General features: G+C 41.2%; 1 protein-coding gene and 1 long non-coding RNA gene across 3 annotated transcripts in view, besides 3 other annotated features; one reads left to right on the top strand and one right to left on the bottom strand.

The window, feature by feature from the left end:
- LOC105376571 (uncharacterized) overlaps window positions 1–473 on the bottom strand; it is a 42,807-nt gene extending 42,334 nt beyond the window's left edge. The window contains exon 1 of one of the 2 annotated variants that reach the window (XR_931086.3): window positions 63–473. This is a non-coding gene — a long non-coding RNA (uncharacterized LOC105376571). The remainder of the gene's footprint in view (window positions 1–62) is intronic. The other variant, XR_931085.3, reaches the window with a different exon arrangement.
- Window positions 1–24,601, top strand: part of SOX6 (SRY-box transcription factor 6) — a 772,029-nt gene that overhangs the window by 125,201 nt on the left and 622,227 nt on the right. Inside the window, exon 3 of the mRNA NM_001367872.1 lies at window positions 1,017–1,196. The gene's annotated coding sequence lies outside the window, so the exon portion shown is untranslated. The remainder of the gene's footprint in view (window positions 1–1,016; window positions 1,197–24,601) is intronic.
- Window positions 5,154–5,653: an enhancer, noted in NCBI's record as "OCT4-NANOG-H3K4me1 hESC enhancer chr11:16629171-16629670 (GRCh37/hg19 assembly coordinates)". NCBI's record gives its function as "activates a minimal SCP1, AML or CMV promoter by ChIP-STARR-seq in naive and primed H9 embryonic stem cells {active_cell/tissue: H9 hESC(naive and primed)}" and the evidence as "EXISTENCE:reporter gene assay evidence [ECO:0000049][PMID:30033119]".
- Window positions 5,654–6,155: an enhancer, noted in NCBI's record as "OCT4-NANOG-H3K4me1 hESC enhancer chr11:16628669-16629170 (GRCh37/hg19 assembly coordinates)". NCBI's record gives its function as "activates a minimal SCP1, AML or CMV promoter by ChIP-STARR-seq in primed H9 embryonic stem cells {active_cell/tissue: H9 hESC(primed)}" and the evidence as "EXISTENCE:reporter gene assay evidence [ECO:0000049][PMID:30033119]".
- Window positions 12,789–12,989: a silencer, noted in NCBI's record as "peak1218 fragment used in MPRA reporter construct". NCBI's record gives its function as "represses an SCP1 promoter by STARR-seq MPRAs in K562 erythroleukemia cells {active_cell/tissue: K562}" and the evidence as "EXISTENCE:reporter gene assay evidence [ECO:0000049][PMID:32103011]".

Here is a 24,601-nt window from a genome sequence, read left to right as displayed (position 1 = left end):
GGGGTGGGGAAGAGAGACACAGACAGTGAAAGAATAAACGTGAGGCAGTCACACAATCTTACCTCCGGGACGAAAGGACACGGTTCCTAGAACTGAGATTTCCATAGCCCGTCTGCATCCCAGCTGTTTTTCCCGTAGGCGCTTTCCTGCCTAACACCGCCTTCTGACTAACTTGGACAAGGCTTGAGCTGCCCCCCTCCTTTTTTCCTCCCTTTTTTTCTTTCCAGACATTCCCTAAACTCAACCCAGGGCAAATCCAGAAGTCGGTACAGTACAGAGCTTCCATTCAATCGTGGGGGGGAAATCCCGTTTACAGTTTCTCTTAGGCAGATGGAAGAAGTAGATGGTTACAGGACTTTGGCAGGGTGCGTGGGGATGGCATGGCGTGTTAGTGTCAGGGAAGCGCGATTTCTCTTAGGTATTGGTGCTGCAGGTAAGGTTCCCAGATTCCAGCTGCCCTTGTGCAGAGCTGCAGTGTCGGTGAGAGTGGAGGGTGATCCGCGTCTCATTAGAGGGGAATGGAGGAGGGTGACGTGGGGGAGAAATGGACCCTGTACAGGCTCCGCAGACACACATTGTCTTAGTTCGTGTCTGTGCCGCTCCACGCTGCCTTTGGGAGCTTTTTGAGCAAGGTAGTATACTCCAGGCTTTTTCTCCTTTTCTTCATCGCCATCCCCCCACTCCCAACCCCGCCCCCCCGCCTCAATGTGTTTAAAAAGAAGTGAGTACCCTTCTAAAATAAGTTAAAAATCTTTCTCTGACTTTCCATTTGAGATGCCAAAAAGATTAAATAAATGAAACTTTATTTACGGATGAGTTTATCCACAGACTCAGCGACTTCTCTGGTCTTTGGCCTTATTTTAATTCTATGGTGGTAATTACCCTTCGTTTCTTTAAGTGTAATAGATTTATTGCCTTAGAGACTATGCACAGTTTGATTGAATTATTCATTTTTTTCTTTGGTGTAGACTGCATCTGGGGACTCTGATGTGACGTGTAGATTTTTTTTTTTTCAGGAACAAAGGGAATGTGGAAATGAAAGAGAGAGGGAGAGAGAGGCTGGCAGATGTAATGAGACGCGGTGAAGGTGTACGCAGACTGGCACTCCCACTCCTCCCTTCTGCTCTCACTGCAGCCCTGGGTAACTCGCAGGCTAACACAAACAGCTTTTCTCCCGCAGCCTGCCCTCTGTCACTGTAAGTACATCAGCCTTCTCTTATCAGCATGCAGATTCCAGCCACGCACTCCCTAGCCTGGCTTTGCACCTTAGACAGCAGAAGCGCATTTAAAAATTAACTTTCCTAAGCTAGGAAAGGCATGTCTGTAAAACTTATTTTTGATTTATCTTTATTTTTCTTTGGAAAAAAGTTCATGCATTTTTACCACTTTTCCCCACCTCCTTTGTGGCGGTGCTCTGCCGCTACTGTCGCTACCGCTGTGATCTTCCTAACAGAAATGACACGCAGATTCAAATGAAATTTAATGTTATTCTCTGTCCACTTAAAGTCGAGGGACAATGCCTTGTCCTTTTGCAGAATGACATCTTAAGGAACGCAGGACATTATTCAGTTTGCTTTTTGCTTTTGTTGCTGAAACACGAGTTCCGACCTCTTTGAGGCAGAGTCCCAAGGGCACTGTTATTTGGTAGTTCAGGTTATTTGGTTACTTCAAACTTAAATGAAGTGCGATGGGCAGCTGAAGTGTTGGTTTATTTGTTATCCCGTTTAAGGAAACCAATTGCTAAAACTTCTCCGTACTGACTTAAAGTTTTCAACTTCTTCCCTTTTGGCTTTTACACTCTCTCATTTATCCTTCGTTTCAGTAAAAGTTCTTCTCAGTGTTTGGGAGCGATTGACAGTTATGCTTGTCCAATTTATACAGTAGCTTTGAAGTCCTTCCTGAAAGAAGTTAGCGACTTCAATATGAAATCATGTAGGTCTGAATTGTCCGCCCGGATGGTGTAAGGAGTCTTTCAAAGCGGGAATTCGAGGTTTTAATAGCCGTTATGATTTTTGCGTGGGTGTTTTAAATACTAACTTCTCGAGCAGAATTAATTGCCTTGTCCTTCCCAAGTTCAGGGGGACCTCTCTCCAGGAACCGTGCGCGCCTTTCCTTTTGCGAGTTCGCGCCTCTTCTCTGGAGGTGCGAGGCCAAAGTTAGCAAAGCCGAATTGCCTTTGCTGGTTGCGGTGCGCAGGGACATTCGGACAACACAGAGGCAGCGACTGCTGCGGGCAGGTAAGTCAGCCCCACCCGCTCGCCCCTCCTTCCCTCCCAGGTTCCCCGGAGCTCAGCGCCCGGGGTTCTTGCGCCGCGTGGGGCTCCAACCCCCAGGGGATGTGAGCTTATGAGTTCCTGGATCTGGCCACCGTGCCTGGGTGCCCTCTGCTCCTCCGGGAACTTCTCCGAGCCCGCAGGCCGGTGCGCACCAGGTAGGTGGAGAGCCCAGCACTTTACTTTAGCAGGCTGCTGCGCTCTCCGCCTCTCCCTCTTCATTGGTATAGCCAGCGCCCGAGGCTTTAGAGGAAACCCTTAGATGGCACCCCCGCCCCCAGGGCCACGTGTCACTCTTACACAGCCAGAAGTGCGGCATCGAGACCCCAAATTTTAGTTTCCTTCCTTTAGGGATGAATATTGTTACTTGCTCCGGGTTCCGCCTTATCAATATACTTTGCTATCAGTTTATTAGATAAAATCTAAAAGGGGTTCCTGCGGCTCCTTTTCGGAAGGTTCATCGCGGCCGGGTATTAGGGCCTTCAGTGGACGCCAGAGATCTTGATAATGTCTCCTTCTTTTCCTTCTTGCCTCCCGCTAGCGGCCTGCATCTGGTCGGCAGGGTCAGTCTTGCCCACCAGAACCCCGATTGCTCTGTGATTTAAAGAGACGGACGCGCTAGTATTTGGAAAGCCAAACTTGTCGCAGCAAATTGGAGGAACCCAGTCGCGCTCCAGCCTTTCCGTCCCTAATGTTTCACCTCTCTAGGTGGCTCTTCCCTGAGGACTTGGTCTTTGAGACTTAATCTACACCTGTCTCCTCTCTGCAGGCATTTAGGACAGGTCCTTCAATGATGACCTCTTTAGGCTTTGGAGAGGTTTTATGGCCCTTGTTGTTGAGTTCCAGGGCAGACAGCTGAGGAGTGCAACGCTCTGGAACAGGCCCAACGACACTCTTACACACACAGGGGAGATCTGACTCCTGTCTGGGCTAGAAACACCAGTCTGAGCTTGCCCCTTGGGCCTTAGAGGTCAAGGGGCCCGCAGGCAGTTCTGGGAGCCCTGGCCTTTAAGAGCTGCCCAGCAAGGTACCAGGGTGTACATCTTATTGGCCTCCAGGCTCTGGCCCCTAGAGACAGAATTTCCAGTCCTGAAAGTCACCATGGCTGGTGGAGACACAAGATTTCTTGCTGGGGACTAACTCCTCCCAAAAACATCAAGTCAGTTTAACTCACAGTCCCCAAGCTACCAGTCTTCAAGCATTGTATTTCCTAGTGGGCCAGGAGCATATGACTATTTCTTCTGCCCCACAGATCCTAGGAGCTCATCTTCACTCTTATCTCTTTTTTTATCTGGAGTTTGTGTGAAACCAACATGGAGTATATTTTAAAAAGGCAGTATATGATCGACAGCTCAGCTTGTTCCATCTTCTGTGCTTGCATCCTGTCTCCGTTTTCTTCAAAGATAATGTAATAGAGATGAGACTTTCTCCCCTTTGTCTTTGATCACTTCATCTGTAGGAGGTCTTCCCCATGTTGGCAACTTTAGATTGCCATGAAACTTTCTGATTTCTCCAATCAGCATTCCTGACTCCTCTTTTGGTCCATATGTCCTTTCACAAAGTCTCTTTCGATGAACTGTCTCAAAGTGGCCATCTCATATGAGTTTCTATACAGTAAGGATCTCTCCTTCACAAATCTCTGCAGGTTATGCTGGTGCTTCAGAACCTCTTTCCCAGCTTTTATCTTGATGTAGTTTTGACTTTCCACTGACCTCAGTTTCTCAAATCTAGTCTATTTCTTTGGGCCTGGGTTAAGGCAGGCCAACCTCACCTTGTGCATACTGCCTCTAGTTAGCCTTGTGCTGCTATCAAAGCTAGTTTTCTCATCTATCTTTTATATTCTGCATCTCTACTACCTGAGACCATGATTATTCCCTGTCCTGGTCCTCCAGCTTTTTTTGCACTGAGATTAAGTTTCAGGTGTCTACTTCTTTATGACATTCTATGTCCTTCAAATCTATAATCTACCCTACACATGACTCAAAGGGAATCTTTATTTAGGTTTTGTCTGGGGGTCTTTTATTAACATAATTTTCTACATCTGACTTAGGCATTTTTATATGTCATCCTGGGTGACTGAAACTGTTTTCATCTTCAACAACCTTTAAACCACCCCTCTTGAAATTGTTTCTCCAAATCTTTTCCTCTACAAAGTTGAGGTAATATACATATATCATCCACTCAATCCCATACAATGAAGACTTATCCATATAACAGTATAACAATTGTGGAATTGTTTTATTTATTGCCGTGAAAGTGTAATAATTTTTTGGTGATTTGTACATGTCCTGTTATTTATAATAATTTGAATCCATAAACTATATAATCCATATGGCCTCCAGAACACTGCCACCTACATATGTTAGGAATCTCCTGTGTGAATTGCTTTTTCTTTTTTTTTTTTCAACGCCTCCTCCTCCATCGTTTAAAATGTTTCTCTTCCCCCATTTGCTGAGATCCTACTAAGTGGTGTGTTTTCATCATCTCTGCTTCCTTCATCTCTTTCTTTTCTCTCTTTTGACTACTTCTTTTTTTCGTTTTCCTTCATCCTTCTTATTGTTCATCCTAATATCCACCCTTCTTGTCTTCTCCCTGGCCTGCCTGTCCTTCCCCTTCTCCGTTTGTCTCGTGACTCGCTTTTGTGGTCCAGTTCTATCTCTTAGTACTTCTCAACATTCAGCCCATGCCTCCTTCTGTCACCTAACTTTTCCAAAGCACAAGCTACCATTCATACATTTTCCTTTACCATTTGACTTCCTCACTTTCTCCAGTTTGCTCCTTTTTTTTCTCCCCGAGTTGCCTACCTTTTCCACGCTACAGTTTGCCTTTCTCCTGACTCCTCCTCCCAGCAGCCCTAGCCCCAATAGAGCTCTTTTGGTCGTTTTCCCCTCAGCCTGCCTCTCCCCCACCTAGTACTTGTCCCCATTCTCCTCTGACCCCGACTTTCTCTCTTCTTTGTCTCCTTCCAGTTCTCCCCTAGTAGTTGCTTCACCGTCTCTTTCCAGGCGCTTTCCCCAGTTCCAACCTCTGGTCTCGCCGATGTCTCTGCCCTCCTCTCTCTTTGCGGCTCTCTCTTGCCTTTGCCTCCCGCTCTCCCCTCCTTCTTCCCCCGGCCCGCCCTCCTCCCTCCCAGCTTCTCTGCCTGGCTCGCTGCCTCCCTCGCCTCTTGTCTCATCTTGCCTGTGTTGTCTGGGAGGGGAGCCCAGCCTCCTCTCCCTCGCTCAGATCAATGCCCTGGCCACTCACTTTCTGATGTTGCACGACGGGAAATGCTTTGAATACTTACGACATGGCCGCTCACACTGATTGCCAAGATTGACAGCACTAACCATCGCCTTCACTTGTTCCAGGGTGAAGCCCCTAGTCACCCCGCTCCGCGCGCACCTCCTGGAACCCCGGCGGCAAACTTCTGCCGCTCTGCGCTGCCCCCACCCGGGGCGGGACACCCCCGCAGACTTGAGTTAACGGGCTACGCCGGCCGCGGCGCTGGGGGGTTCTGTTCCCTTGCTCCCCGGACTGTGACAATTGACCTAGCACCGACTCCCCTTCCTTTTAATTTTTTTTATTTGTATCTTTCCCTTTTTCTTTAATGCCATTTACTCCTGCGGCGCAGCGCACAAGGAGCCCTCCCGCGCGGTACCATCCTGGAGCCCGCCCAGGTAACCGGGACGGAGCGAGCGATCTCGAGAGCGAGGGAGGCAGAGCCAGGGCGCGCGGCCCGCTGTGAGCTACCTGTTGGGGCGCCGGAGGGGGCAGGGGGCAGGAGCCCAGGGCCGGGCCGCCGTCCCCCGGCGTCTTCCGCTCCTGCCCTTCCGGGCACTCCAGGGTTAGTTTCTGTGAGCTGGGACCGAGGGGCTGGGGCAGGACAGGCAGAGGGACGAGAGCCGAGCGAGCGGAGCCCCGAGAGGGCGCGGGTGGCCGGGAGCCGCGGCTGCCGGGCCGGGGCGGGTTTGCGTACTTGGCTGGGGAGGGGAAAGGAGGAGGAGGAGCGGGAGGAGGGCGCTCCGAGGGGCCGACGCGGAGGGGGAGTGGAGGGAGAGAAAGGGGCCCGGGCGCCCGCCGCTCGCTGGTGGACGCGCTGATCCCGAGGATGCGTCCCCCTCTTGGAGAGTTGCGCCTTGTTCCGGAGTGACAGATCTGCGTGGCGGGGGTCTGTTTTTCTCCCCTTCACCTCCCCTCCAAAAAATCCACCCTGAGAAAACACATGTTGTAGCCGTAGATAACTGTGCGTAGGACATTAAGGCAAAAGGGCAGGGACAGGGACACAACGCAACCTTTGACAACAGAAAGCTGTTATCGCCATCCTAAGTATTCGTCCGGAAATCTGTCTGCCCTCTCGGCCCACCTCACTCCTCCACCTCCGCCTCCCCGCATTGGTATTCTAATCTATATAATTGGGAATGATGTGAAAAAGAAGTCAGGTGGCTTAGAGAATGAATTTGTAAGTCTCCGTGAAGTTCGAGGTAGGTATTTCATTGAAGTTCGCTCAAGTGTGTGATAGAGGAAGCTTTTGTGGCTGCGTGTGTAGTCATCCCTCCTCGTTCTGTGAAAGCAAATGCGTGTCGGCTTTGAAGGTTCAGATGGGACCGCTAGGCGGTAATGCCCTCCGTGCCCACAAGAGGGCAACATCCCGAGGGCTTTGTGAGCGCTGTATCTCTTGTTACCGCCGCAGGCTTGGGTTTAGAGAAAGTTACACTGAAACTTTTAAAAAACTGATACCACCTCTTATTTCGCGATACTAAAAAAAGAAAGATATAAAGGAAAAAAAAAAAAGAAAAAAGAGGGAAGTAAAGAGAGAAGAGAGAAAGAGAAAGGCAGGCAGCTAGCCTACCCCGGGAGAGCCCTAGTCACACCGAGACTAGGGGGAGGGCTGTTTTAATTGTGGGTTTGGCCGACTGACGACTGGAGTGCCCTCCTCGGCTGTCTTAGTTGTAGCCGGAGGTCATGTAAATCGACCTTAAAAGAATGCATAAGCCATAAATTAAAATAAACCCTCATCCAAGGGCTGATCCATACGTAGACAATATCCAACCTGGACAAAACGGGCTTCCCTTGCGAGCCGACCTAAACCGCATCCCCCAAAGAATAGAGACTAAATGCAAAGTAAGTTTCCTAGCAAATATTTTGTTTTCTTGAAAAGTGTTGGGTTGATTCGCTGTGTGACTGAGACGCCACAGTGTTCGGAGCGCTTCAGTGTCACCCAGGCTCTGGGTGCGGGAGGTCGGGAGGACCCGCTGAGCTTCTGGGCTTCTTAATGCTACCCCCACCCCACCCCCATTTCGGTTTGGAAACTTAGGCTGTTTGTGGGGTTGACACTGGTTGAGGGCGGGCGGGAGTCGAGGATCTCCGCCGCTCTCTCGCCGGGATAAAGTTTACTCGGAGGAGTTCATGAAGAAAACCCGGGTCGCTAGAAAACGCTTGCGCTCCCTCCTCCCACCCTCACCCCACCGCCGCTCCGCCGCAACTTTTTCGGGACACCGCTCGAGTTGCCTCCAGCTCCCTCCGCTTGTCGCCCTTCCTTCCCCCTCCCCCCGTTTTTGGACAGTACTTTTTAATGATCTTTTCAGGAATAAACAAACCGAATTCCAAGCCCATCCGAAATCCAAGGCTGACTGATCTGTGGTCCTCTTTACCCTGGCCGCGAGGGCAGTGGTGCCTGACCTGGCGGGAGCGGGGGCGAGGGGTAGTTCAGCCCCGCCGGGCGCGGACTTCGCCAGGGAGTCACCCGGCCGAGCGCACGGTCGCCGGCACGTTTCTTCCCCGCCCCGCGTCCCTGAGCCCAGCCGGCGCCCTCCGTCCTTCTCGGCGCCCTGCCGGGGCCCCGCCACCCGCCGTTCCTCTGCAGCCGGGGCCGCGGTCCGCTGCTCCCGGGCTCGGCCCAGGGCAGGGGGCGGTGCTGCCACCCGCCCCGGGACCCAGCCCGAGCCCGGCCGCTCCCGCGGGAGCTGCTTTCTTCCTTCTCCCTTAAAGGGCCGGGCAGAGAAGGGAAAGGGCTTGTGCAAAGGCTGCTGGGGTTGTGCTCCGATGCCGGGAGGAGCGGCCCGGGGCTGCTGAGGGCAGATTAGCTCGGTGCCGGGCTGCTTCCCCGGCGCTCCGCAGAGCTTTAAGATAAAAAGAATTGGTGTGTTCGGAGCAGATAAAAGGTGGCAGTCGCCAGCTTGTTTTGAGTTTTATTTACGGTCTCTTAGGCGGACCAAGTTTGAAAATGTTGTTTTGTGTGAATTGTCAGATATTGAATGCAGCCCCTATTTGGGGACTAAAAATAAGTCTTCGACTGAACTGGCGGGGCTGGGCTGTTAGCGAGATGGGCTGTCCTGGGCTGCTTTTGTGTGTGAGACCCTGTGAGGGCCGCGCTTGAAGTTTAGGGCTAGAGGTGGCCCGAAGCCGTCCTTGCGGCAAACTGGGCTGGGCTCCGGACCTCCCGCTGTACTGTCAATGGGCGCTCGGATGACGTCCGCGTCCCGGGCGCCGGTGCTAGCCGCGTACTCCTGCGGCCGGGCTTTGGCCCTGGCTGCACGGCCCAGCCAGCAACCCGGGGGAGTAGAGATGAGAGAGGGCCCCTCTACTCCCGCCCACTAGGGTCTTCTCTCTCCTGCCCTTTCTGGTCACATGTCCAGGTTTTTCCCCGGGTCCCGAGGAGAACAGACACAGCCCCGCCCAGTTTATTTCTAGGAGGTGGGTTTGGTGAATAAAAAAGGTCAAGTGGTCAGGTCGGCGAGCTGGTCCATGGCGAGGAGGGACAGGACGGACACCTGGCAAGTCCTGCCCTGCCTGTCCCCCAACCTTGGTCGGCCCGCCCGCGCACGGCTGGCCTCCCTAGGCCACATTCTTGCACAAAGTTCGAGAGGCTGTGGGAAAAGCAACCCTGAACCGGCCAAGGGCCGGCGAAGCTGATCCCGCAATGGCATTTTGTTTTGAACAGTTGCTGGGGTTGACGTTTCCTCATAAGGTAAGGTGTCACTGGACAGTCGGCTGCCCAAATGCCACATGTATAATTAGCCTGCGCACTCAGCACCTCGTCCCCGAGGCCCGCAGGCACGGGCTTGGCCGACCTGGTCCGCTCAGCTCTGTTCTGGGTTCCAGGATTCCCGAGGGAGGGCCGAACCTGCCAGGGCAGCCTCGGGAGGCCGTGGCAGAGAAGAATGTGACAGTGTAGCCTTGTCTTGGATTTTTTTTTAATCTTTTCTTTTCTTCTCTTCCTATTTTATCTTCTTATTTTTCGGCTGTTCAACTATTGGTAAGAGGGGTACTGGACACCAGCGCAGAGTGCAGACTGAATGGGGAAAGGAGATGCAGAGAAAATCTGGCAACATACCTATTCTTCACATCCTACTCGTGGGGGAGGGCTGCTAGTGGCCCTCTGCACCAACCCAGTAAGACCATTCCAGGCTTGGCATTGTATGTCCTGGCTTGGGTAGGGACTTCATGCTTCTAGGTTGGATTGTTTACCTGTCTCTGTGCTCCCTCCCACCCCCACTCCCAAAGGTCTCTCAGAAGTTAATATCCGTGCTCTGATTGCAGCTTCTGGTTTCCCCCTCCAGGCCTAGCCGCTTGGGGCTGCTAGTGATCACTGTGGGAAAGCCTGGGCAGATCTACTGTCTTTCCCTATCTTACTCTGGTTCAGCCTGGGGTTCTTAGGAGCAGTAAGTACCTTGTTGTTTCTTGAGCTTCCTACCTGGCTTCCCAGATCCCAGTGTCAGGTCTGCTTTAGCCTGCACTTTCTGGCAGAGACCAGATTTCTGCAGCCATGAACATGACTTTCCCTCTGTTACCCTGTGCAGTTACTCTGGAATTCAACACTCAACATTAGGCACTTGCATCAGTCTTCCTCCTCCCCCCTTGTTTCTAGGCCACTCAGATATGTCTGATACCTACTAGAAGACTCTTTTTTATTTCAAAACAAACAAACAAGCAAACATCCTAAATCTTTCACAAGTTTAGTGGGACAGGGTTAGCTTTTCTTTTTTTTTTCTTTTTTTATTTGAGACGGAATCTGGCTCTGTTGCCCCGGCTGGAGTGCAATGGCGTGATCTCGGCTCACTGTAACCTCCGCCTCCTGGGTTCAAGCGATTCTTCCGCCTCAGTCTCCCGAGTAACTGGGATTACAGGCACACGCCACCACGCCCAGCTAATTTTTGTATTTTTGTGGAGATGAGGTTTCACCATGTTGGCCAGGCTGGTGTTGAACTCCTGACCTCAGGTGATCTGCCTGCCTCGGCCTCCCAAAGTGCTGGGATTACAGGCGTGAACAGCCGCGCCCGGCCCAGGGTTAGCTTTTCTATGGCAGCAAGAGTGCACCTTTCTTGGTGGGAAATGAGGACACGGTTTATTAAGTTGCATTTGCTTTTCATTGAACCGATGAAATATTTCACTTTCTTGTAACAGGAGAAAAGTTATGACTGATTTAGGTATCTTCCGTGCAGTTTTGGAAGTATCTTCTTGAATACACATATGTGAGCACATGGGCAGTAGGCCAAATGACATGTAGTTTTTTTCCTTCTACAGTTTTGAAAACCTCATAAATCAAGAGAAATTGTCCCTCTTAAAAAAAAAGCAAACAACCAAAAAACAAATGTTTCAAACTTTGAAAGCAAGTGTGCATCACAATTATTAGGTCTAGTTTAAGACCAAAGATAGTAAGTAAGCAGGATCCCGATATCAAGTACCAGGGCATTAATTCCATAGGCATAGTGACATCCTCTGTTGCTTTTCTCATGTATCACCAACACCTCGTTTCTCTTCTCTTGTCCACCATATTCCTTCAGTTATAGTGGCAAAACTAGATAGCTTTTTGTTTATTGTTTATTCTGTTTATTGTTGCTTTTATTTGATGTTTTGGAAGTCATGAGAAGGAACATTCTCTTGGTGAATATGTATTTTTTAAAATGCACAAAAAATTGAGTTCTTTATTATGGAGCATGATATAAATGATATAATAGTATCAAGTACCTATACCTTAAGCTGATTCTATAATGGATTTGGTAACTGAATGCCTAGAAGAAATGAGATTAAGTAGGAAAATTATATTGTCTGTTGGGCATTTTTTCAGTAGTAGCAGAAAACAACAGATATTTTTCATTTTAAGGGAAAAACATATATGTACAATATGTTAACCTAACTGGCAAATCTTTCTTTTACAATGCTCTAAACAATATTACTGTAAAAAATGATAAAATTTGATGGCATTATTGAGATTTTATGTCTGTTTCTATTTGACCTTTTTTAGGAATTATTTAGTTATTGGTCACTGATGAAATTGCTACACATGTCTATCTTATATTGAAGATATTAGTGACTTTTAAATAATTTTCTTTCAATTAGTATAGTAGGTACTGGAATAAATGAATTTCTTTTGAAAAAGATAATATACATTGGCTTTAACACCTACTTTTAATATTTTCTATGCTTTTCTGTTTTGTTCGGTTATGTATCTCTTTCCATGTTTGAAAGCATTCTCTTGTTAGTGAGAGAATTCATACATACATATATTTTTCACTATTTACGAACAACTTTCTATGAAAGTATAGAATAGTACAACAAAAATTTTGGTTTATCTAAGAGCTATTTGTTTTAATATAGTTTAGGGATGCATATATATCAATTGATGTTTTTCAAGTCAAGTGAAACATTCCATCAAGCTAATGTGTCTGAGAATACCATATCAGGCACAGACAGGTACTAGAAATGATAAAACACAGATAACTTACAGCAAGATGTTTTGCAGATGGGATGTATTATCTGCTCTCATGAGGTTAGATAGGCCATATTACCATTAAAAAATTAATCAAGTTATTTCACAATTATCAAGTTATGTAGGTATATGAGATTTAATGATAACAGATTTTATTATAGAAACCTGCTAAAAATGAACATTCACTGCTGTTTAGAGGAAGAAATGGACTATCTTTGGGTTTGGATTTCTTCTTAAGAAATATGTCTCTCCTCTGTTTTTTTTCCTAATAAGGAAAATAAGGTATTAGAACAGTTTATGTATTCATCCTGACTGTATATTTTCTACTGATTATGCCCTGAATCTCAATATTCAAGTAAAAAAACCTAGTGCTCCTATATAGTGTAGGAAAAGCAATTTATATTAATGTAAGCCCAGTTTAAATGTGTAGCATATCCTTTTGGCCTGAGGTTTTTCAAATGTGATCCGAAAACTCATTGTTTTGGTGAGCGTTGTGTCAGAAACTCTCCCATCCTTTCATTATATATTCATTATTTATTCACAGGAAAGTGTTTTTATTTTCCTTGTTCTGTGGAAAAGGGTAAAAGCTTTTCAGTTAATTATTTTGTTTAGACATTTAAACAAACTGGAAATAGTTCAAAATTTGCATTATGGGTTTTGATAGAGCTTTTCAATTTTTAAGTATTCATTGTAATAGTTTGGATAGAAATATCAGTTGAAGAAAGTGGGTGGAGGGTGTAAAATGGAATATCATTTAAATCTACTGCAGACTCTCTCAGCTCCAAAAAAGAGTGCTGGTCTGTTTTTCCTCAAATCTGTGGTAGTCTTAAAAAAGGGAACATGAAACCCTAAAACCTCAGAGAAGCAGTATCGATTCAGTTCCTAACTGCAAATCCTTCATATCTTTGCTCAAAATATCCAACTTTACACCAATATTAGCCATTCTTTTTATAGTGATACCATGCTTAGTAAAAAACTTCTAAGCACTGAGGTCAGGTGTTGAGATTGGATTCTAGTTTATTTTTTATGAATCAGATAAAGATTTCTGTGCATGAGACCATATGTGAAGATGAGAGAAGAAGAACATTTCCATATCAAAGGCAATATATCTGAAGCTGCATGGTAATTAAAATGCAGTGGTTTGGACTCTGTGCACTAGCACTTAAGCAGAGCATTGCTGGGACCTTGTGCATCATGCAGGCGGTTGCCTCTTGCATACTTCTTGAAATACACTTATAATTTTGTACAAACATTTATGCCAGTCCACACTTTTCTGTGGATAATTTGTATTTCATCCAAACCATTCAAAGTAGAAGTTATTTTTTGAGCTACCCCCTCATTATGGCTTTTGTGCATCAACTATTTTTATTCTTCTTGTTTGTATTTCTTTTTACCAGAATGATGGCTTGTTTATATTCAGAATCTCTTCTTGCTCCTCTAAGACCCCTAATATATCACTCATATTTTATTATTCACTCAAAAAAACTTTCATTTTTAGGAAAGATGTGAGTTATTTTCTGAGGTTAATTGTAGATGTTGTAATCTATTATAAACTAATAAACCACATTAAAAATCAACTGCCTACTTATTTCTACTTTATAATGCTAATATATTTAGTAATCCTCACAAACTTGCACAATACATATATTGGAAAAAAATCCTTTTTTAAATACTTAAAGAAAAATTCTGATATGTTTCTTTTCATTTAAATGGCATGAAAATGTGTAGTGGCATTCTCTTTCATGATACTTCAAGTGAACAACAATCAATTGAAACTATGGAAATCTTTATATTTATCTAAAGAGTTATCTCTTTCCATTTATAGAGGGACGTTTGATTTTATTTGTCAATAACTGAGTTAATATTTTAGACTGTAACTATTTGGGGATAAATAGTGAAATACAAAATCTAACAATTGGTAGTCCTGTGCTGTATATATTTTAGAAATTTTTGCATCTTTGGTGACCAACTTCAATTTGCTGCTCTGTAATCTACTGGCTCTTCTATTTCTGTATTTGCTCTCTTTCTACGAACATTTTATTGTGGTGTGTGTGGCGAGGAATTCATTGATGTATTTTATTTACTAAGCTCCCATGGTCTATAAAGCCTTCTAAAGATTTCTCTGGATTGAAGCACCATGTATTGAAGAAGCCTAACGTGATATTATTAAATCCTTTAAGAGTTTTGCGTGTTTTAACTATTTTTAATCAAATTACTTAAGTATATTGATTTGATGCTCTTCAATGATGATACGTATAAATAGGCATAATAAATATAAGATAAATTCAAAGTGCACTATGTGATGTGCATATTACAGTGTATACAAACATTCTATGTTCTCTCGGTTCTCTCTTGATCTCTTTCTTCTCAGAAAAATCTCCCACGATAACCCTTGAAATGATCTGTCACCCTTGCTACCTTCAATAATTTGTTGTTTCCAGTCATCTTAAAGAGACGAATTGTCTATCTTTGATATATCCATTCACATGTAAAAAGGGACTTTATGCTGTTTGTGATTTTGACTTCACCGAGCACAATTTCTTTGCTTCTTTGAAAAGTGGTTCTTTAAAATTAGACAAAGAAAATTAAAGATGCTTCACTTTCCAAGGCCACACAAGCCCCATATGTAGAAAAAAGAAAATGCAACAGATTTTTTTTTTTTTAAAGAGCATACTCATTCCCAGGCATGGTTGCAAATGCTACATTTTATACTTTACAAATAGGTCATTGAATAACATAAAGACTTACTAAGTTCTAGACACCCTGAAGAGCATTTTTGAAGCCACGAGTCTTTACTTTTAAAGGATTTTCTCTTCTTCTGAAGATTTTCATAGTTGGTAGGTGGAGAAACTTAGGTGTGGTTGTCTTGATGCTAAGCAGGTTGTTGATAAAACTGAGTAAGAATGCCCTCAGCTAAGAGAGAGTAGTTCATTGCATTTTCTTGGGAAAGAATATTGAAGGTCAGGAATATTTTTATTTTCTCAAAATAATTTCCAACTAGGTCCATGGGCATTGAACCTTCTGTGTATGAGAAGTCAGCTCCTCTCCTCCCAATATATCCATGGTATAATCCCTAAGCCTCAGTTTCCTTATCTATAAAATGGGAATAATAATAATAATACCTATATCATAGGGTTGTTTTGAGGATTAAATGAGATAAACGAATGTAAAGCACTAAGCTGAGGGATTGGTATAAAATAAACATTTAATACATGTTATCTGTTATAGTTGAAGTGGTTCTATACTTACAGTTATCTGGATCTGGCTTCCCATTCCAGCTTTACTACATAATTGCTATGTAATCTTTGGGAAGTTACATAACTTGCTTCTTTCCCTCTTATGTAAAATAGAAATAGCAATATAGGTTCTTAACTTTCTTTCCTTGAAAGGAGAATTAATCTATGGTCTGGAAGACTTGGGATAGAGTAATGACTAAATGTAGAGTTTACATGTTCAACTTCTCAAATTTGATAAAACTACAATTCTAAGGCCTAGAAAAGAGTTTGAAAGGTCATTTCATTTGTCATTGCTATATAGTATTGATCATCCTTTCTTCATTCTAATCAGTTAAGAAGTTCTCTTTATTTTGAAAGCCTGCCAAAAGGAGATTTTATAATCTTTGGTTATATATATCAATGATTAACACCAGGATTTCTTTTTGTCAAATATACCCATCTCAATCTGTTTTGTTTTGCTTTCATTTTAAGAAAAAATGAAAGCAAACATTCTTCTTCATTTGAATGACAGACCTATATGTGTGAAGACCAAAATTAAACTTTCAATTTTGATTTTTTGAAGATTTTCTTTTGTTTTATTTGCTAAACTAGTTGTGTGACCTTGGAAAAGTAATGCAACCTCCCCAAATCTCAATTTTCTAATTTTAAAAATGGGGATGGTGATATAATTTATTCCATGGGTTGTTAGAAAGGTTAAGTTTGAAGCTACTGTATATATATTTAATATATATATATACACACACACATATACATACATACATACATATATATATACATATAAGTGGGTAGAACAGTTCTGGATAACGGTGTTAGGATAAATTGACAATAGTTATATGATCAGTACAAGAACCATGGCATGAGAAAGTCTCTTAATTCTCTTATATTTATAGTACTCGTCAGCCTTTAAAGTGCCTTCATATTCATTGCCTCATTCAATAAAAGGTATGTGGAGTAGATAAACTTACCAGCCATACTAACTTTCTACTTGATGTGAATCAATGTTTCAATTGGGTTTTGCTTCAGGATATTATTTACTTCAAACAAAGCTTGTATGTCATAAGTTAGAACTGGCTTTTTTGGCCCTCTTGTTTCCCCATCTCTTTGATATAATGTCAGTGCTCATTTATTGTATTTTCATACTTACTTCCAGAGCCAAATTATTGCTGCATTTCCCGTACACCAATGTAAAAGAATAATACCATGCTGATCAGAAGCATTAAACATCAGTTCTATATGTCTTTGATTAATACAAATTAGAAAATTATGTAATAATAAGTGTGGCAAGTTTGATAGAAAACAATCTTTCAAAACATGAGGTTCATTAATAAAAGAATCCTTGATGGTGAAAAGGCTGAGAAGAACTTGATTACATAATTTCAAAGATGAAAATGCATTGTACTAGTGAAGAGGTATGGATATAGGTGATTCTGTACAGTGTGCTAATTACTGTCATGGCGTTATGTATAACAGCAGAAGTACCTATGTCAGGGAAAGCTTCTAGTAGGAGATGGCCTTTGATCTGTGATTTAAAGGATGATGAGGAACTGGCTTTAGGTAACATCCTAAAGAGCACTGAACATGGGGGAACATTTGACAGTATAACTAGCTTTTCTGTAGATCTGACACTGAAATGTCTCGTACATGTTTCTTTGTGATTCCTAGAAAGGCTGTGTCTGTCATGAATGTGATATGGACATAAGCCAGCAGCTTAGCCACTGCACTTCTCTTTCTTAGCTCAGTTTTGTGGTCAGGAACATTGTGAGTGCATTTTAAGGTACAGAGGAATCTTTCAAATTATTACTTTCCTTCAAATATGTCAACTAGGTATGAAAATTACAGTAAGTGGCTTATTAATATATGAACTGATGATCAGGGCTGTGAGTTAATAAAATCTTGTATCTTACACTGTAATACACTTTTAGAAAATGGACAAGCATGATCTTAGAGAAAAAGCTGTGTCTGAAAGCTTTTAGATCTAGGTGTTATTTCTGTTTCCCTTATGTGTTGCAGCTCTTTAGGTGCCTCATATTTATAATTAAGTTTTTCCAATGGCAAAGTTGGTGTATATCATAACTTCTTTTTTATTGAGGGATAATATGAAAATAAATTAATCCTCAGAGTGGTTATTTAAGGTTTTTGGAAGAAATACAAATTATAATTATACAATGATAGTGATGGACAGTAGTAGTGGCAGAAGCAGCAGTAGCAGCAGTAAACCCTCTCTACTGATAACTTTCCAATGGGGATGATAAATCCATTTATTAGGTTTTTGTTTTTTTAATCTTTTTGTTTGTTTGTGTTTTTAAGAGACGGGGTCTTGCTCTGTTGTCCATGCTGGAGAACGGTGGTACAATCATGGCTCATTGCAGCCATTCCTGGCCTTAAGCAATTCTCCTGCCTCAGCCTCCTGAGTAGCTGCGACTACAGAAGCCCATCACCATGCCTGGCTAATTTTTTTTTTTTTTTTTTTTTTGGTAGAGGTGGTATCTTGTTGCCCAGGGGGGTCTTGAACTTCTGGCCTCAAAGAAGGCCTGACTTGGCCTTCCAAAGATTATAGGTGGAGCCATCATGCCCACCTAATTTCATAATCTGGAAACTCATGTTTTCTAATAACTTTTGAATGCCTTTTCTCTGAGCCAGCAGGCCTTCTTTCATATTTTTAGTTTGGAAGCTCTCTGGTGTTTAATAACTTGTTTCTCCAAGTTAAACACACTTACTGAGTTTTGCAGCTTATATGACTGCGACATAATCACTTTCTGAAAAGAGATTGGTGGTCACATAGGCTAGAGAAGCTATGGCCGTGGTCTACAATGGCTTTAACCTATTTTCCTCACCACCGCTTTGGCATCCTGGAGACTTGCATTGTTGGTAATGGCATGAAAAAAAAATGATGAAATCTCTACATTAAAAAGAAAGGTTCTGAAATTTAGTAAAGGAGGGGGAAAAAGACGTGAAATTTATAGAAAACAGTTTAAAAACATCCTCTTAGTCATATTAAATTAGTTATGATGCTAAAAGCATCATATTTAAAGAACATCTTCCTTTAAGATTTTCAATTAAGTTCCTTAATAAGAAGCCAAAACCAGGCCGGGCGCGGTGGCTCACGCCTGTAATCCCAGCACTTCGGGGAGGCCGAGGGGGGCGGATCACAAGGTCATGAGATTGAGACCATCCTGGCTAACACGGTGAAACCCCGTCTCTACTAAAAACTACAAAAAATTATCCAGGCATGGTGGCGGGGGCCTGTAGTCCCAGCTACTTGGGAGGCTGAGGCAGGAGAATGGCGTGAACCCGGCAGGCGGAGCTTGCAGTGAGCCGAGATCACGCCACTGCACTACAGCCTGGGTGACAGAGTGAGACCCTGTCTAAAAAAAAAAAAAAAAAAAAAAAAAGCAAAAACCGAAAAGAAAATAAAAATTGAAAGAATATAGCAGCTGAACAAAGTTTAAATAACTTGGAAAACAGCATATTAATCAATTGAGTCTCAGGAACATTTTTTACCCTTGACTCTGGAGACTTAAATACATATGGAAGGAAAATTTTATTGTTTTAAAATTTCTTAGCTGTAGTCCTTTCCCACTATAACAATGCACAATGAAAGTAGATATATTGAGGTTTAAAAAAGGATTGTAACCTTGCAACCCTTAAAGGCATTTTTAAAGAAATTGTTAGCTTTTTGATATCAGATTCTTTAAATGTTTACAGATAACAGTAAATCCAGAGAATGCGTCCATTTGTAGTTTTTGTATAGGTTTGTGTAATTTTACAGCTATGCTAATGTGGGCTCATGTACACTGAATACTTTTGACTTTTGTGTTTTAAATTGTATGGCATTTTGTAACAGGCTTATTTTCTCTGAGGTATATATATTCATATATATACAACCTGTGTTGGGTAGGACTAGTGAACTTAGAGACTCATATTCTTATGTAGGGCATGACAGGGAAAGAATGAGAAACAGCTTGACTTTTAATTAACAGGTTTGGAAAACACCTTGGGCCGTTTTCCAAAGCATTCATAATTAGCTGTGTCTTAGTTGTGAAGTTTTGTGTTTGATTTCTTTGTTATGTCCACATGGAAAGCTCATCAATGTTATCAGGAGCTGTGTAAATAGAGCATATAAAAAGTATACCCCTTTATATTGTACATGAATTTTTTCTTTTTTAATTCTGAATTTATTTGTATAAAACAATACTGTTTTAGGTGTTAAGAGCTTGGGCTTTTGAATCAGCACACCCGGGATCAAATTTTGTTCTACCATTTACAATTTATTTATCCTCTCTGAATCTATTTCCTTAAGTGTTAAATGAGAATATTAATGCCTTCTTCCTAGGATATTGTGAAGGTTGAGGAGATGATGTGCATAACACACTTAGTACCTTGTTTGGTTCATAATAAGTGCTTGGTTGTCATTTTTCTATGAAAGTCTGATTACAGTACAAAAATATCACTTTATGCCCTTTGCATTCATTTTCATATTGAAAGAAAATGGTATAATTAAATACTTGGGAAGAAACTTCTAACATATATGGTGAGCATTCTGATTTTTTTTTTTCTAAAGGTGGATTTTGATTTGTTCAACGTTCTTCCCATCGTTTATATAAGCAGGAATAACTCATTTTAAAGGTGATGAAGGCCAAAGACATAGTCTAGAAATCCATGGCCTTGGTGTCTTTACTTTTACGCTGTGTTCAAAGCTGACCATCATCATCTGTGACCCTCAAAATCCATCCCTGTTTATAAAGAGTATTCCATTATTCATTTGTCATGGCTCACCCTGAGTAAAGAAGGATGTTGGGAAGATGGTGGGCACTCCCCTATTTCCATGACTCCTTGCCACTTGTTCTTATCAGCTCTATTTAATGTGCTTTAAACCTATCCCTTGAAGTTTTAATTTTATTATATTTTTCATTTCTGTGTGTTCAAATGATTTTTTTTCAAATTGGTGAGGTAATCTTTATAGGCAGATATAGAAATATCTATATGTGCTTTATGCTTATCTTTTATTTCTTTAACCTATTTATTTTAAAATAGCTTGCTGATAACTCCAGTATCTATAATTTCACTACCGAGAGCCATAGCTGGTCTCTGCTTTTTCTTAAGATTCTTGCTCAAGGCACCTTATTTTCTCTTATGCTTAGCTGTTTTGTTTTGTTTTTATTTCAATGAGCTGATCATGTTCCTTGGTATATTATTTGCAGGGATTCTCTGAGGCCTAGAATAAAGGGGAACTCTTGTGGAGAGGATTTCCATTAGCCTTGCCACGTTCTTTTGCATTTTCTTAGTACTACTTTCACATCTTTGGGCTGTTATTCTTCTTTTTTGATTTGTATATGTGCTAGTTTCTGCAATTTAAATGCCAATAAAATAGGACATTTGTATTAATGTTCTTTACATTTTATGAGGCTATGCTTATATAGTTATTAATTTTGCTCATTTAACAAGTTTATATCTGAGATAATTTAAAAGACAAATATGATTTTATTAAATTTAGTAAGGGAGGTGTTAAATTATATGGTCATTCTAACTTGTCCCAAATGAGCTGTCTATTTAATATATGTATTTAAGTAATATGTATATTACTAGTGCATCTTAAAAGTAAATATGTTTGATAATTAATAAAATGCTTGTTTCAGTGTTATCACATAGTAACCTATAGCTGGTATCTTCCTTGATTGATTGGAGTGAAGGTAGGAAACATTTTCAGTACCTGAGGTCAAAGGGGCATAACTTGGGATATTCATGGAGAGGAAATAGAGATCTTAGGCATTCTAGATAGCCTAAATGCAGCTGGAGAATATTGCTGGTAAGGTTGAGTCTGGAAGAATTCCTCTGGCAAGACAATTTTAAGGTTTGTTCGGGAGAACTTCTGACAGAATAGTGGTTGCCACATTTTGGATAGAGCACGCCCTTAGCAAAACGCTCATGAACCCTAATACATGTACATATGTATTTCAAATTTTAGACATGTACTATTTTGCTAATATATGTTATAAACTTGTACATATTGTAGATATAGAAAAGAAAGAGATATAGATGAAATAATATTTTAAAATGAATTGTGGTCTCCCAAATCCTATAATCGAATATGCTTTGTTATTTTTAACAGTCTCAGTTTAACACAGTGTGATGAAGCAATTTAAAGATCTGATTCTAAGTTTATTTTACTTTGCTACATGGCTTTAATGCTGCCACAGCTGAAAATGATATCTCAGAAAGAAAAATAGATCCAAATGGGAGAAGAACATCATTGATTGCACAAATTGATTACATACAAATGTATGCAAATAATTTTGTTAAAATTTGGCTTGTAGCCTCTGTCTTCCCTGATGACAATTAGTTGTTTTTGCCAATGAGGTCAAAGGTATAGCATTTTAATATTTTTTAATAAATGGACTCAAAACCTGTTGAAACTTTTTGGAACATCACTAAACAGGTTAGAATATTCTGATACCAATTTTTAAATTGAAAATAGATGAAAATTTTTGTAAGTGATAGCATAGAATTTTTGGTAACAAAATTCACACCATGATGGAATCATTTTCAAACATGTTTTCAAAATATTCTTTCATAACATAAATCTGTTTTGAAAAGCATTCACCTTCTCATTTGATAAAATATCACCTTTGCCTTGAAGACCAGATTAAGTTAGTTTGATTGCTTCTATGTTTGTATGTATATACCTAATTATCTTTCTGAAATCTATCTATCTATCTATCTATCTGTCTATCTATCTATCTATCTATCTATCTATCTATGTATCTAACCATTTATCTAATCTATGTGTTTGGTAACACACACTCACAGCTTCTTGTCATCACATGAAAGTTCAGCACATTTGGTACATTAGTTTTATTCTCAGGTTTGGAAACTACCATAATATAAGCAGTGAACTGCTGGATGCTGCAAACAATTCTCATGTTTATGCCCCTTCTCATTTCAAAGCATTGTAAAGATTTTACCATGGTATACAGACCTTTTTAAAATTAATTTTTGTGGTTACATAGGTGTATATATTTATATGGTACATGAGATATTTTGATACAGGCATACATTGCATAATAATCACATCAGTATAAATGAGGTATCTATCACCTCAAGCATTTTTTCTTTCTTTGTATTACAAACAGTCCAATTATACTTTAGTTATTTTAAAATGTACAATAAATTATTGTTGACTGTAGTCACTGTGTTGTGCTATCAAATACTAGATCTATCTATATTTTTGTACCATTAAGCATATCCACTTGCCCACCTCCCTGACTACCCTTCCCAGCCTCTGGTAACCATCATTCTACTCTCTGTCTCCATGAGTTCAATTGTTTTAATTTTTTTTTTAAGCTCTCACATGTAAGTGATAACATATGAAGTTTGTCTTTCTGTGACTGGCTTATTTCACTGAACATTATGACCTCCAGTTCCATTCATGTTGTTGCAAATGACAGGATCTCATTCTTTTTGTGGCTAAATAGTACTCCATTGTGAATATGTACCACATTTTCTTTATCCATTTATCTTACTCTAAGCCTATTTTTTAAAGTAATTTCATTATCATGTAGCACTGGGCTTCAACATTTTGCTACAATTGCTTGATTGTGAATGATGTAGTTAGTGAAGTCCATGGTACTATCTCTGTAATCTTATCCCTTTGTTCCTTTAGTTCAGCTAGGACAACCACTTCACCAGTGGGTTCACTTCCTTAGTTTTCCTTAAAAATTTTTCTTTCTTAAAAAAGGAACTTGTTGTTGAGATGGTATCTTTCCTGGTACATATTTAAATGGCTCACTAAAAATTAGCACTTTGCCTATTAAATATAAACTGAGGCATGTTGAGAAATATGTACATTCATTCATCTGAAAAGCAAGCGTCCTACCTGACATTTCTTTTTGCAAATCTTCAGCCAAGTTTTCTATGTGTCTTTCAACATTTTGGCAGTACCACCTATACAATGCCAGAAGACATCATTCACACTGCATTCTAGGTAAATGGTGACTCCAGAGTTTTGCATTACGCAGTGCTGATTTTTAGTTAAGGGAATGTATTTACGTTTGTTGTCATATTATTTTTTTGTATATTATTTTAACCTTTTTTATAGCAGCAGGAAGAACAAGTGTTATTCTGATAGCATGTAGCTTTTTTATCTTTTATAAAAGAATTTCAAAGAGGTTTCACAACATTTAACTTTATGTTTGGTGAAATTTTGTAAAGTACTGATTGAGCATTGTATGATTTTAAACATTGTTGGAAAAATTGCAGCAATATAGATTTATATTGATGTGCTTAGTATTTAAATATCTTGCTGATTGTAAAGGGTTCATATTGCTTAACATCTGAAAGTACAATAGGGCAAAGTATATTGTTAATGATACTAGATATAAATCTCTATCTCAAATTGTATTCTTGATGATTAAATAAATTTTGGCTTATTTTTTGTCAGATATGCATGGATCATCATTGTTTCTATCCTGTAATATGCCTGCTATTGAGCTACTACTAGTTGTAGAAATGTCAGCTTTGTCATGGTCTTGTTATCATTAAGGCCTACATTATTAATATTATCCTTAAGCTATAGTTTTTTTGGAAGAATCATTTTAAACCACTTGGGCATTTGTTCAGGGTTAATTTAGTAAAAAACTAGATTATATTATCTACAATCATTCTCTTTTCTTTACCCAGGATACTTCTGATATTGGATGTTGCACATTAAGACATATAGACTCAATCTGTCAATCTGTATTTAAATCTAGGTAAGGATTAATTTTTCTTACATTTAAAATAAATAAATATACTGCAGCATATTTATGTAGTATACTCCTAGGATGTATGTACGCACTTTGGAGACTACTGAAATAGAAAAGAGTGGAAAGAGAGGTGAGGGCATGATGAGTCAAGGAGGAAATGCATGGTCTCCAGATGACACTCTTCTGGGACATAGTCCCTCTGAAGAATGTAGCCATAACTGGAAACCTGGGACAGGAAGTAGGACTACAGATTGATCAGTGTTGAGGTTCAGGAAGCAGTAGTATGGTATTTTTGTTTTTATTTTTTTGGGAGGGGATTGGTCTCACTCTGTCACAGAGGCTGGAGTGCAGTGGCACGATCATAGCTCACTCAGCCTCAAACTCCTGGGCTCAAGTGATCCTCCTGCCTCAGCCTCCCAAAGTGCTGGGATGATAGGCCACCATGCTGTGCTGATTTTTTAATTTTTAAAAAAGAGACAGTGTCTTGCTACAACGCCCAGGCTGGTCTTGAACTCCTGACCTCAAATAATCCTCCTGCTTCAGCCTCCCAAAATGCTGGGATTATAGGCTTAAGCCATGGTGCCTGGCCTAGTGTGACATTTTTAATATGAGAAAGGAAGCAGATTTAACCCATCTTTTATTCTTTAAGGCAAAGCAGTT

Source organism: Homo sapiens, chromosome 11, assembly GCF_000001405.40.
Source record: "Homo sapiens chromosome 11, GRCh38.p14 Primary Assembly".
Lineage (NCBI taxonomy): Eukaryota > Metazoa > Chordata > Mammalia > Primates > Hominidae > Homo > Homo sapiens.
This window is presented reverse-complemented; position numbering and strand designations above follow the sequence as displayed.